The 13,631-nt window shown below is 46.4% G+C and overlaps 1 protein-coding gene and 1 long non-coding RNA gene across 9 annotated transcripts in view, besides 1 other annotated feature; one reads left to right on the top strand and one right to left on the bottom strand.

The window, feature by feature from the left end:
• The window catches only part of PRKAB1-AS1 (PRKAB1, TMEM233 and CCDC60 antisense RNA 1), a 280,141-nt gene extending 266,769 nt beyond the window's left edge, over positions 1-13,372 (top strand). For 2 of the 4 annotated variants that reach the window (NR_188494.1, NR_188489.1), the window contains exon 3: positions 13,092-13,372. This is a non-coding gene — a long non-coding RNA (PRKAB1, TMEM233 and CCDC60 antisense RNA 1). Of the gene's footprint in view, positions 1-13,030 lie in introns of all 4 variants that reach the window. The other 2 variants (NR_188492.1, NR_188490.1) reach the window with 1 other exon arrangement.
• The window catches only part of CCDC60 (coiled-coil domain containing 60), a 206,312-nt gene that overhangs the window by 139,682 nt on the left and 52,999 nt on the right, over positions 1-13,631 (bottom strand). The window lies entirely within an intron of this gene.
• Positions 10,500-11,001: an enhancer, noted in NCBI's record as "NANOG hESC enhancer chr12:119828163-119828664 (GRCh37/hg19 assembly coordinates)". NCBI's record gives its function as "activates a minimal SCP1, AML or CMV promoter by ChIP-STARR-seq in primed H9 embryonic stem cells {active_cell/tissue: H9 hESC(primed)}" and the evidence as "EXISTENCE:reporter gene assay evidence [ECO:0000049][PMID:30033119]".

The following is a 13,631-nucleotide window of genomic DNA, read 5'->3' as shown; positions in this document are numbered from 1 at the left end:
GATGGATGGACAGTTGGATGGATGAATGGGATCCTGAACCTCTTGGTGATAGGAGATTAGATGGGTCTGGTCTCAAATGCTTGTGCCAAAGTAGATGGGGAGTCACATCAGGTATTGGAAGAGAAAACCTCTCAGGCAGTGTGGTAAATTGGAAGGACACTTGACATCACACGGACCTGGGTAACCAGCTCTGTGACCATGGGCCTTGGACCAAGCCCCTCTTTCTTCATCTGAGAATGTTGATAATGTCTTTGAGCTGAAAGTAACAGGAAACTCCACTCACTGTTGCTTACACATAAGGAAATTTATTACTCCATGTAAGAAGAAGTACAGAGTAGGATTTGGGATTTCAGGGTTGACTTTGAAGGTCTGTCATGTCACTGAGCTCTGCACAGAGTGAATTGCCCACAGAATCAGCCTCATCTTTAGACATCTTCCCCTCATGGTTGTAAAGTGGCTTCTGACAGCAACCAGGGTCAAGGCTTCTTTCCTGCACCCATTGGCCCAAATGGGCTCTCCGGGATGGCCATCATTCGAACCAGTTGTTGGCGAAGCAAATAAGATAGCTATGACTGGCCAAATCCAGTGCTGCTCAAGCCGTGGTCCATGAACCAATGCCAGCAGCATCATTTGGGAGCTTATTACGCCTGCAAATTCATGGACTACATTCTGACCAGGTGAACCAGAACCTCTGGTGTGGACCAAGGAATCTCCACTTTCAGGCATTCCTATGGCTGTTAAAGTCTGAGAACCACTGGATTAAACCCAACTGGGAGGCGAGGGACAACTACAAAATACAGGTGATAATGCCAACTTTAGAGGGTTGCTAAGAAAACAAATAATATCACATATGTGAAAGACTATCACACAGTAGGTGCTTAATACATGTTGGTTTCCTTCATTTCTTTCCCTTTTTAGCGATATTGAAATATTTACTCGTCTCCATCAATTATCTTCCTCCACCCAGTGCTAAATATCCTCATGCTGCTCTGACCTATGGAAACCAACCGGGCCGGGCGCAGTGGCTCACGCCTGTAATCCCGGCACTTTGGGAGGCCAAGGCGGGTGGATCACGAGGTCAGGAGATCGAGACCATCCTGGCTAATACGGTGAAACCCCGTCTTTACTAAAAATACAAAAAATTAGCCGGGCGTGGTGGCTGGCGCCTGTAGTCCCAGCTACTCGGGAGGCTGAGGCAGGAGAATGGTGTGAACCCCGGAGGCGGAGGTTGCAGTGAGCTGAGATCGCGCCACTGCACTCCAGCCTGGGCGACAGAGTGAGACTCCGTCTCAAAAAAAAAAAAAAAAAAAAGGAAACCAACCTGTAGGCTAATTTATACTAAGGTGGGAGTGACACATAGCATCACTAGCTTAGTAGCATTTTCACCTTGAAATAGCAGAGCATGGAGTGCACGATACTTAATCTAAAAAGCTGCTTGGCAAGTGGTGTAATATTAGGCATGTAGCAAGTTTTGGTGTGTAGGGGTATGTTTTAGTGTGGACTATGCTGCTCCATCCTCAGATCATACCCCGTAGGTAATTTCCTACTCTGGCCACACTGAAGGGACTAGTTGGCTAAGCTGGATGCCCAGTGGCAGCCACATGAACACAGGGTGCGATGTGGGAGGGCTGAGGTTAGCCAGGCTGATGGCATCACATACATCCTTCCCTTCCCCCCTGTCTTCAGAGCCCTGTTGGGGACTGTTAGGGAGAACGTAGCCCCTCTTGAGGCTTTGATCTTTGGCTCTGCAAGTTCCAGATTCCCTTTGAAGTATAATTATAATTAAAAGGAAAATCCCAAGCAGACACCAGATGAGGTCTGCACCCGACACGCACTGTTGGCAGAGTTTCCTAAGTCAACAGCTGGCTCCGCATGTCAGGCTCAAAGGAAAAAAAGAAATTGGCCACTCATTTGAAGGAACTTTATTCTGAATGAGCTGGAACTGTAAAGGTCCCTTAATCCCTGGAGAATAGAACAGATGGGAGGGCAAGGGAAACCTTGGCAGTGAGAAGATGATTAATTAAGTTGGATCCCAGGTCCCTCTTTCAACAGGAGGATGCCCATCTGGGTCCTGGGTGCATCTCCTTTTGAGCACCCCATGAACTAAGAGGGTGACCCCAGTCTGTCATCCAGGCTTCCAGAGCTGGTTCTTTATCCTAAGCTAGGGACACAAAGACTTCTTCCTTAGGATCAAGATAAACTGGGGCCTCTTGAATTGATGAAATATTCATACCCCACTGCCCTTCATCCTATATTTTTTTTCTCCATAGTTTTTGTTTGAGAAACTTCCTTTGGCATTGCATGGCCCTATATTGCAGGTCACTGTCATCACTGTGTGACTCTGGGCAAGTTAGAACCTCCCCATGCATCAATTTCCTCATCTGTAAAAAGGAGACATTCATAATATTGCCTTTCTTTTTAGAGATATGAGAATTACAGCTAATAAATTCTAGGTACCTCACATAGTACCTGGCATTTAGTGTGTGCTTAATAAATGTTGTCTGTTAAGACAATTCTGGGCTCTGCCAATAAACTCCTTAGCTCTTGAAGGCCTAAACTAAACCTTACTACAAAGAGTCAGTACGCATTAAACAATCTTAAGACTATAAAGGGATCCTCAAGACAGATTATCTAATTGTAAAATGCTAGTTTCACCACTTAATAGTGTGTCCATGACCACTTTTATCAGTGAAAAGGAAAAGTGAGCAATTTGATTTTTTTAAAGGAATGGAGTTTTGCTCTGCTGCCCAGGATAGAGAGCAGTGGTGCTGAGAGGTGACAAAGGTGCTAGCAGCCCTCACTCTTGGCGCCTCCTCGGCCTTGGTGCCTACTCTGGCCGCGCTTGAGGAGCCCTTCAGCCTGAGCTGCACTGTGGGAGCCCCTCTCAGGGCTGGCCGAGGCTGGAGCTGGTTCCCTCTGCTTGCGGGGAGGCGTGCAGGGAGAGGCACGGGTGGGAACCGAGTCTGCGTGCCATGCTCCCAGGCCAGCACGAGTTCCGGGTGGGCGTAAGCTCGGAGGGCCACGCACTAGGAGCGGCTGGCCGGTGCCGGTGCCTGGCAGTGATGCGCTTAGCATCTGGGCCAGGAGCTGCAGAGGTTGCGCCGGGTCCCCCAGCACTGCCGGCCTGCCCGCACCGCACTCAAATTCTTGCCAGGCCTCAGCCACCTCCCCACAGGGCAGGGCTCGGACCTGCAGCCCGCCATGCCTGAGCCCCCCGCCTTCCTCCTCCCCTCTGCCACCCCTTCCTCCCCCCACACCGCCCCCTTCCTCCCCCCGCGGCCCCTTCCTCTCCCCCCACCCCCTTCCTCCCCCCCCGCTGCCCCTTCCTCCCTCCCGCCGCCCCCTTCCTCCCATCCCCCCACACCGCCCCTTCCTCCCACTCCCCACGCCACCCCCTTCCTCCCCCTCCCACACAGCCCCCTTCCTTCCTCCCCGCCCCCTTCCTTCCCCACCCTGCCCCCTTCCTCCCCCACCCCCTTCCTCCCTGCCCCACTTTCTGCCCTCCCTCCCCCCCCCCCCCTCCCCCTCCCCCCCTCCCCCCTCCCTCCCCCCTTCCCCACCCTGCCCCACCCAGCCTCCCTGACGGGCGCTGCCCCCTGCTCCGTGGTACCCGGTCCCATTGACCGCCCAAGGGCTGAGGAGTGCAGGCAGCGGGGTGGGACTGGCCGGCAACTCCACCCCTGCCCCACTTGCAAGATCCACCAGGCGAAGCCAGCTGGGCTCCTGAGTTGAGTGGGGACTTGGAGAACTTTTATGTCTAGCTGGAAGATTGTATATGCAACAATCAGCACTCTGTGTCTAGCTCGGGGTTCATGGATGCACCAATCAGCTCTCTGTATCTAGCTAATCTGGTGAGGACTTGGAGAACTTTTATGTCTAGCTAGAGGATTGCAAATGCACCAATCAGCACTCTGTGTCTAACTCAGGGATTGTAAACGCACCAATCAGCACTCTATCAAAATGGACCAATCAGCTCTCTGTAAAACGGACCAATCAGCTCTCTGTAAAATGGGCCAATCAGCAGGGTGTGGGTAGGGCCAGATAAGGGAATAAAAGCAGGCTGCTGGAGCCAGTAGAGGCAACCGGCTCAGGTCCCTTTTCAGATCATGGAAGTGTTGTTTTTTCGCTGTTGGCAATAACTCTTGCTGCTGCTCACTCTTTGGGTTTGCAACACCTTTATGAGCTGTAATGCTCACCATGAAGGTCTGCAGCTTCACTCCTGAAGCCAGCGAGAGCATGAACTCACAGGGAGAAATGAACAACTCTGGAGGGGAGGAACGAACAACTCCAGATGCCCTGCCTTTAAGAGCTGTAAAATGCACTGTGAAGGTCTGCAGCTTCACTCCTGAAGCCAGCGAGACCACGAACCCACTAGAAAGAAGAAACTCTGGACACATCTGAACATCTGAAGGAACAAACTCTGGACACACCATCTTTAAGAAATGTAACACCCACTGCGAGGGTCCGTGACTTCATTCTTGAAGTCAGCGAGACCAAGAACCTACCAATTCTGGATGCAGTGTTATCACAGCTCACTGCAGCCTGGAGCTGCTGGGCTCAAGTGATCCTCCTGCCTCAGCATCTTGAGTAGCTAGGACCACAGGCACACACCAGACACTTGTCTAATTATTTAAATTTTTTTGTAGAGACTGGGTCTTGCTATATTGTCTAGGCTGGTCTTGAACTCTTGACCTCAAGTGATCCTCCTGCCTTGGCCTCTCAAAGTGCTGGGATTACAGGTATTGGCTCCTGTGTCTGGCCCAATTTGATCTTTGAGGTCTCTTCCAATGGGACTCACTGTGTCATTATGACCCCCTTCTTTCTGGGAAAGGGCCCACACCAAAGCCCTTGTTGTGATAGTGGGTCCCTGTTCCACTGCTGCATCCATGACCCATTCCTCCTCTTTTGGGATGGCTTTCTGGCTGGTCTCCTAGGTTCCCACTGCCACTCTCACCTCTATACAATCTGGAGTGGGTTGAATAGTGTCCTTCTGAAACTCACATCCACCCAGAATGGGACCTTATATGTTACCTTTGCAGATGTAATTAGTCAAGATAAAGTCATACTAACTTAGGCCCTAAGTCCAATGGCTGGTGTCTTTATAAGAAAAGGAGAGGATAAGGCCAGGTTTGGTGGCTCACGCTTGTAGTCCCAGCATTTTAGGAGGCTGAGGCGGGGGAATCACTTGAGGTCAGGAGTTCGACACCAGCCTGGCCAACATGGTGAGACTCAGTCTCTACTAAAAATACAAAAATTAGCCAGGCGAGGTGGTGGGCGCCTGTAATCCCAGCTACTTGGGAGGCTGAGGGAGAGGAATCGCTTGAACCCGGGAGGCAGAGGTTGCAGTGAGTTGAGATCAAGCCACTGCACTTCAGCCTGGGCAACAGAGCGAGACTCCATCTAAAAAAAAAAGAAAGAAAAGGATGCATGATGGAGGAGAATGCCATGTGAAGATGGAAGTGGAGACTGGAGTGATGAGGCTACAAGCCAACAAACACCAAGGATTGCAGGAGCCACCAGAAGCTGGGAGAGAGACATGGAACATGAGAGCTTCCAGAAGAAACTAACCCTGCTGACATCTTGGTTTTGGACTTCTCACCTCCTGAGCTGGGAGAGAATAAATGTCTGCTGTTTTGAGCCACCCATTTGTGATCATTGGTTATGGCAGCCCTAAAAACTAATGTACCATCTTTCTATAGAGTGAAACTCATTACCGTGCTGATATGGTTTGGGTCTTTGTCCCTGCCCAAATTTCATGTCAAATTGTAATCCTCAATGTTGTTGGGTCCTAGTGGGAGGTGATTGGTTCATGAGGGTGGATTTCCCCTCTGGTGCCGTTCTCATGATAGTGAGTTACCACAAGATCTGGTCTTTTAAAAGTGTGTGGCACTTCCACTCTTTCTCTCTCTTCCCCATTTGGTAAGACGGGTCTGCTTCCCCTTTGCCTTCTGCCATGGTTATAAGTTTCCTGAGGCCTCCCCAGAAGCCAGCATCATGCTTCCTGTACAGCCTGTGGAACTGTGAGCCAGGTAAACCACCTTTCTTTGTAAATTACCCAGTCTCAGGTATTTCTTTATAGTGGTGCAATAATGCACTAATACACATGCTCTTGCTCAAGACCCTTCAGTGGCTTCCATGGATCACAAAGGAAAGCCTCAATTCTTCAGGGTGTTCTATAGAGTCATTCATGACTTTTCATCTGTTGGTTGCACCTCTGCCCAGATACACTCTTTTCTGCAGCCACTCTGAGTACTTCTGAAACACGCTGAACTCCTGGAAACACATTATACCTTCTGTAGGCAATGCTGTTTCTCTCTTCTCTCACTTGGAAAACTACTCATCCTTCAAGACCCAACTTAAGTATCCTCACCATTATGAAGCCTTCGTAAGCACCCCCTTCTTCAATTCTCCCTCCACTGGCTGAGTTAGTCATGCTTCTCTGTGTTTCCAGAGCATATTGATCAAGTCTCTTTTCTTGGAACACTGAGCTCATGCACTAAAGTTACTTGTTTTATGCATCTGCCCCTATTCAGGTAGGGATCTGATCCTGAGATCAGAGCTGACCTTGTAAGGGATCAGTGAGTGTTTGTTGCTTGACTAAATGAAAGTTGGAGGAAAGTGACGTTATTTAACAGGAGATGCAACAGCTGGAAGGTGGCAAGGACAAAAAAGGACATGAAGGACAAAGATATTCAATTTTCCCATTCAGTCTTGGGGAGACCAGTTGCCCATATGGTCGTGCATGCCATGCCTTGGTCACCCATGAGAATTACTGTTTTCTGTGCATCCATGGGGGTATTCATTCTGGGAGTAACTAGAAAGTGCAACTGTGCTTTTAGGGGATGCCTGGGGGGCAGTGAGAGGTCTCCTTGGGCTTTGCCAGAGGCACGGAGTATGTCCTTGCCTGGACTACCACATGGTGGGTGGACGCTAAGCATGTAGATCTCTTGAAGCATGAAATTACCCCGTTTCCTTTGTAACAGGCAGAAGGAACTAGGGAAAATGCTTTTAAGAAGAAAAAGGAGAGACGTTGGGGAGACAAGAGACAATAATGCGGATTTTAGTATCAGACAGACATAGGTTTCAAATCCTCAAGCTTCTGCTTCCCAGTGGAGTGACCTTGGACAAGTCCTTTATCTTCTCTGAGCCTCTGTGTTCTCATTTCTACCATGGTGAAGGTGCTTATAACAATACTTGCTTTGCGGTACAGTTGTAACAATTAAACTTAGTGAACACAGAATGCCTGGCATGTAGCAAGCTATTGGTAAATGGAATCTGTCATTTTTTATCTAGCATGATGATTATTAGTTCCACAAATATTTTCTGGGGGCCTATTAAGGGCCTGTCATAGTTCCAGCATCTTGAGACTCTAAAATGCTTAAGCTCAAGATGATCAGGGCTGTTAAACACTGTTTTACAACACCAAACATGGCGTGTGTACGTGCTCACTTCCTGAAGGTGCTGGTTAAAGTCTGATGGCTTCATTGTAGCCCTGTTGCACCAGAAGAGGTCATCTGACCTTGTGTCATTTATTAAATGAATCCTTATTTCCTTGCTCTATCCCTTCACTGAAAACGTCACACAAAAGCAGGAAGCTCCAGACTGATATTTCTTTCCTCTTGAAGCCTGTCCAGGTGTGGGCACGAGTTGCCACTTTGAAGGCTCTTTTCTAAACCACTGGGAGAAAATTTCATTTGCAAAGCTTTCCCTGTGTCTTGCTCTCCAAGGGCGAGTTGATTAAGCATGTTTGTCTGCATTTATTCCATGTACATTTCAAAAGTTGTTTACTGCAGCTACATTTTAAAAATATAAACATGCTCCCTGTTTAATGCAGGTACAAATCTCCAGGATGTGCATTTTTGAGCCTAGGGCGTAGGTGGAGATGCAGACAAAATAAATACAATTCGGGAGCAGCGAAAGCAAAACAAGGAATCATTTGTGAAAGAGAGAATGACTGCAGGAAGTATAAAATCAGAAATACGCTTTGGAACTCTTGGATGCTATTGTGAAATGCATTTTCCCCCTCCTCCCTTTCCAAGGAAAACTTAAACCATATTTCCTGCACGATGAAATCTTTGAAATGGCCCAAATCTCATTTTAACAAAAACACACGATTGAGTTTGTCTAATTAGAGATTTAATGAGCCGTAAAATGTATGGTGAGTACCTGGCAACCCTCAGAATTCTTTCTTTTTTGTGACAGGATCTTGCTCTGTCACCCAGGCTGGAGTGCAGTGGTGCAATTACAACTCACTGCAGCCTCAATCTCATGGGCTCAAGTGATTCTGTCACCTCAGCCTGCTAAGTAACTGGGACCATAGGCGTGTGCCACCATGACTGTCTGATATTTTTAATTTTTTGTATTTTTGTAGTGATGGATTCTTGCCGTGTTGCCCAGGGTGGTCTCAAACTCCTTGTCTCAAGCAGTCCTCCTGCTTTGGCTTCCCAAAGTGCTGGGATTACAGGTGTAAGCCACTGCACCTGGCCACAAAACTGTTATATAGTACTTGCACCTCACAAACACGAGACCCAGGGTCAGGATGTTCAACCTGGTTTCGTTTAGGAGGCAAAGTCCTCTGTTCTCCAGAAAGAGGTTTTGTACAAACATGTGGTTCATACATTGCCATGGCTGAGCATCAACTAGCATGGCTGACTGCAGCCTATGGCATTCCCTGATTGATTGATTCATTCATCCCGTAAATATTTATTGAGCACCACTTTGTGCTAGGCCTTATGCTGTGGTGTTTGGTATTGGGGATAACCATGATCATAACAGTCATTTTATTGAGTGCTTATTATGCACCCTGCGTTGGGTAAGAACTTGGCATGGCATCTCTCATTTGATCTCCACCACAACTCTACTAGGTAAATGTTACTATTATTATCACCATTTTACAGATGAGAAAACCAGCCAGGACTAATTCAGCCATAATTCCAAACTCTCAGGAAGAAACTTATTGGCCTAGCTTGGGTTAAGTGTCCACTTCTCCTCACAGCAGAGGTGAAGAGAGTGGAGCTGTGTCACTTAGTTCAAAGCTGGCTACAGTCCAACAGGAGGCAGTTCTCAGAGAAACAGGGTCTCTGTGAGTAGCTGCCTTCTTCCATGTCTGCTGGGCTGCAGAGGGTGGATTTTGGGGAAGATGAAGTGATGGATATCCTAGACCAGTGATATCCTAGGTCTTGGGACCACTACACTGGGAGGTTTCACAGCATCTCCTACATCTGAACTCCACAGGACACCCCTTTCTCTAGAATAAATCACCCTTTCTTGATCTCTGAAAGGGTTTATGTTACTTATGATTGAGGGGGGCCTGAGTTAGCTGGTCTTGTAATCACAGATTGCTGAATACTTCCAGAGCCCTCTCCTGGGTTTTGGCTCCTGACCTCTGCAATATTGCACACCCAATTGCACAGTGGAGCAAAGCAATAGAATGAACAGCTGTCTCGAGCACTCAGACGTGCCACACAACTCACTGGTATGCTGCGGGACCCCACTGCAGAAAGCTTCCAGAAGGTGGCCACTTCAGACCAAGCATTTTTGCAGGGCTCAGAAGGAAGAAAAAGATACTGGACCTTTGCTAATCCTAATACAGAAAAGCCCTGTCAACCTACACAACAAAATTCTTTTAGCTTTCTCTAGGAGTACCAACAACAACAGTAATAACAGCGCTAACGATAGCTCTCATTTGCTAGGTGCCAGACACCGCAGCATCACATGACATGCACATTACTCTGCAGCATGCACATTACATGCACTTTTCTGTTTGACATTCACAACAACCCTTTCCGGTAGAGGTTATTATTGCTGTCATTGTGCAGAGGCAGAAACTGAGGCCCAAGAGGGCCAAGTAACTTGCCCAAAGGCACATGGCTATGAGGTATGGGTGGTGACTCTCCAATCCAGATCAGTCTGAGGCTAGAGCTCAAGTTCTAACATTATATCCATGCCTAAGACATTAAGGTATTGTCTGGTACTTCAGCAATTTGATGATTATTGTTGAAGTCCTCAGGATCTGCAGCTCAGAATGTCCTCTATAAGTCCTGAAAGCACCCAGACGTGGATGGCATTTTAAGAAAAGACACACACACACATACACATAGACACATACTTGGAAAAAGAAGTCACACTGGCATGAATGGTGACAGTAGGTGCTGCTGGTCCTACTGTGGCTTAGAGGAGCTCAGAATAGCCACAGAGACGTGTGGGTAACAGTCCATTTTCTGATGCTTCTTGAATTTGGTTCATCTCAGCATCCTCAAATCCTCCCCTCACATTTTATAAAAAGTAAAGTCATGCAGAACTGGGTGCTTCATTGAGGAATGTGGTTAAGACCTAACCTAAAATGAGAAATGGCATCACACAAAATCCTGAATGTGTACTGAGGTCTGACTAGGTGGCCTGAGGTTAAACAGCAGGAAATTAAGCCAAGTGGCATGGCTGCCCCGCCTGGAAGCACTGCTGCTTTTTAGAACTTTTGTAAAAATAAATGTCAATGAGGGCAAAAGGAATGAGCTCTTTAAAAATAAATGCACCTGCCACTGTTCTTGCTTAAGATCATCTAACTCCTTGCTACTCAAAGTGTGGCTCGGGAACTAGAAGCATCTGTGTCACCTGGGGGCTTGTCAGAAAAGCAAGTCTCAGCCCTACTCCGAGCTGCTGAATTCAAATCTGCATTTCCACAAGGATCTCCAAGTGATTCCTTGCAGATTAGAATTTGAAAAGCAGAGAGCTTCCTCTGGTCATCAAAGAACTCATCTTGGCATCATTATACTGAAAGAATGACCACTCTCTGAGGGGTCCATCCACATTCATTCATTTGTCCATTCATTCATTCATTCACCCATTCACTGATTCATCTATTTAAAAAATATATTGATTATCCACTAAATGTCAGGCACTGGGGCTGTGACTGTAAACAGGAGAGATGTGATGTATAGAATGGTGGGAGAGAAAGACATTAAACAAACATTTATTTAGTTATTATAGTAAGTACCAGGATAAATTTAGTAAGCACAACAAACAGTGTTTTAGGGCCCTGATCTGCTTACTGACAGGGAGCACCTGCAGGGAGGATTAGGGAAGGTGTCTTTGGGAAGTAGTATCTAAACAGACCCAAAGAAGGACAAAAGTGTGTTTATTAAGGGAATGTTCTGGGCGGCAGGAATGGCTTGTGCAAATGCCTGGAGGTGGGAAGATGTGAGGTATATTGAAGCCTTGTCTTTTACGATTTGAGAATGGCATTATGGTAGCATTACATGTAATAGTGAGATGTTAGGAGCCCTTCCTCCCTTAGGAGAGAGATTTGATGACCTATTTATTTTATGTATGAAAATATGCATCATTACAGACTAAACAGACATATTTCCCTCTGGAGAAAGTCTACTTCTTTCATGTGGCCACACACTGACCAGGAGTCAGGGTGTCTTCCTGATGCAGAGAAGAGAAAGTCATCTTTGTCTTCCATTTGCATTTTCCATTTAGTTTTCAATTCATCAGCCACTAATGGTAATGTGTGCAAAGCCACTACCCAAATGAATGGCAAGCTTGCTCTGTGTATGTGTGTGTGTGTGCATGCCTGTGTGTTGGTGGTGATTTGTGGAAGTGATGGGAGGTGGGTAGGGGGGCTAACCCTAAAGATGCCTTGGGTCTGGGGCTCAGGGGCTCAGACTTACCATGATCGACAATCCCCTGCCATTTCCCACTCTACTTGCTTCTTTTCTAAGCCTGTCTAGTATGTTACAGCTTTGTGAGCACAAGTAGTGTATTTGGGAGGTGATCCTGGGAAACCCCCATAGGAGAGTGGGACAAGGAGAGGAAGGTATGTTAATGAGCAAGCAGGTGACCACCGTGGGCAACTTGGGGCTCAACCCTGCTGGCACCACAGGGGAATAATATAGAGTTGGAGTCAGCAAACTTGTCTAGAAAGGGCCACACCATAAATACTAGGCTTTTGGGGGTATACAGTCTCTTGTACAACTCTGCCCTTGTAGTATGAAGGCAACCATAGACCATATGTAAAGAAATGGGCGTGGCTGTGTTCCAGTATAACTTTATTTATAAAAACAAGTGGTCAGCCAGATTTGGCTGGTGAACTGTAGTTTGTTGACTCTTGATATAGAAGATGTCTCAGAATTGTTGCATCTGAAGGCAAGGCAACTGAGGTACTTATGTGTTATCATTTGTCTGCCATTGGTAAAGGGATGCTCCTTAAGGCATTGCCTTTCTTGTCCCTTCTGAACTGCCCCAGACCACAGACAGAGAGCCACAGGTGCTACTGTGGGAAGCCATGAATGTGCATGAGCATGGGAAGAGCCAAGAAAGGGGACTATTTTATAATGAGTGAAGTAAGACTCAGAGAGGGCAAATGATGGTATGAGATCACAAGAAAGGTAGTGGTCATGATCAAAACAGAGCTGATCCCTATGCTGTTTGTACATGGTGATACTCTAAAAGTAGGAAATTTTGTGCAGTGTTTTCCAGTTGCATTTTAACATCTGTCTAGGAACTTTTGTTCTGAAGCACACCATTTAGAAAGCATGTCACCATAACCTATTCCACGAAATGGATTTTCTTCTGCTCCCCAAACTGTTATAGAAGCACTTGAGAATCAAAGTAAGAACAAAGATACATAATTTAAGTGTTTATTCTTAAGAACCTTTTAAAATGTCTTGATTATATGTGTTTCCAAGATGTACATATAGAAACTTTGCAAATCAATGAAAAGAGAGCAAACTACCTAGTAGAAAATAGGGCAAATAATACAAATAAGGTAATTCTCCAAAGAGAAAATATAAATAAACAATGAATATATAGATGATCCTCAATCTTGACAATCAGGTAGGTACAAGAAAACAACAACATGTCCTCTTTGCCCATCACACTGGCAGAAACTTAAATGCCTTATTAAAGGGTGGATGAAGATGCGAAGTAACTGGTACTTGGATATTCAAGTAGGCTGTGATTTGGTACAAATTTTCTGGAGGTTTATTTGATTAATAAAATCTGTTTCCTCTCACTTTCTTCCTCCAAGAACAAGAGAAGGAATCACAATTGGTCCATGACAGTCACGGTCATCTCATTCCTCTTGCCAGTGGCAGGTGTATGTGTGAGTTTGCAGCTCAATCCTGGCCAAGGGGATCCAAGGACTGCTGAAGAGGCATGTCTGCACATGTCACCTAGAACATCTCCAGCCATCATGTGATCTCTGGGGGAGGCATTCCCAACTCTCTGAGAGAAGCAGACCAGAAAGATGGAAAGAAAGCACCTGGCTCCAGGATGATGACATTGAGCCGATGAATTAACCACCTTTGTGCTGCTCTAACCTTCAGAGTTCACCTTAACATGAGAAAATAAAACCCTTATTGCTTAGCCACTGGGATCTTCTTTTATTTGCAGCCAAAAGTATCTTAACTGATATAATTATCTCTCCCATATAGAAATGGGGCCTTATGTGTCCAAATAGGCAATGTACAAGTATTTTATTATAGCATTGCATGTAATCGTGAGACATTAAGAGTAACCTGAAATGTGCGTCAGAGGGGACCTAGGGAAATAAACTGTGATTCAGTAACACTATGGAATTTGAGGCAGCCGTTAAAAGCAATTAGGTAAATTTTTATGTGCTGATCCCA

Source organism: Homo sapiens, chromosome 12 (genome assembly GCF_000001405.40).
Source record: "Homo sapiens chromosome 12, GRCh38.p14 Primary Assembly".
Lineage (NCBI taxonomy): Eukaryota > Metazoa > Chordata > Mammalia > Primates > Hominidae > Homo > Homo sapiens.
This window is presented reverse-complemented; position numbering and strand designations above follow the sequence as displayed.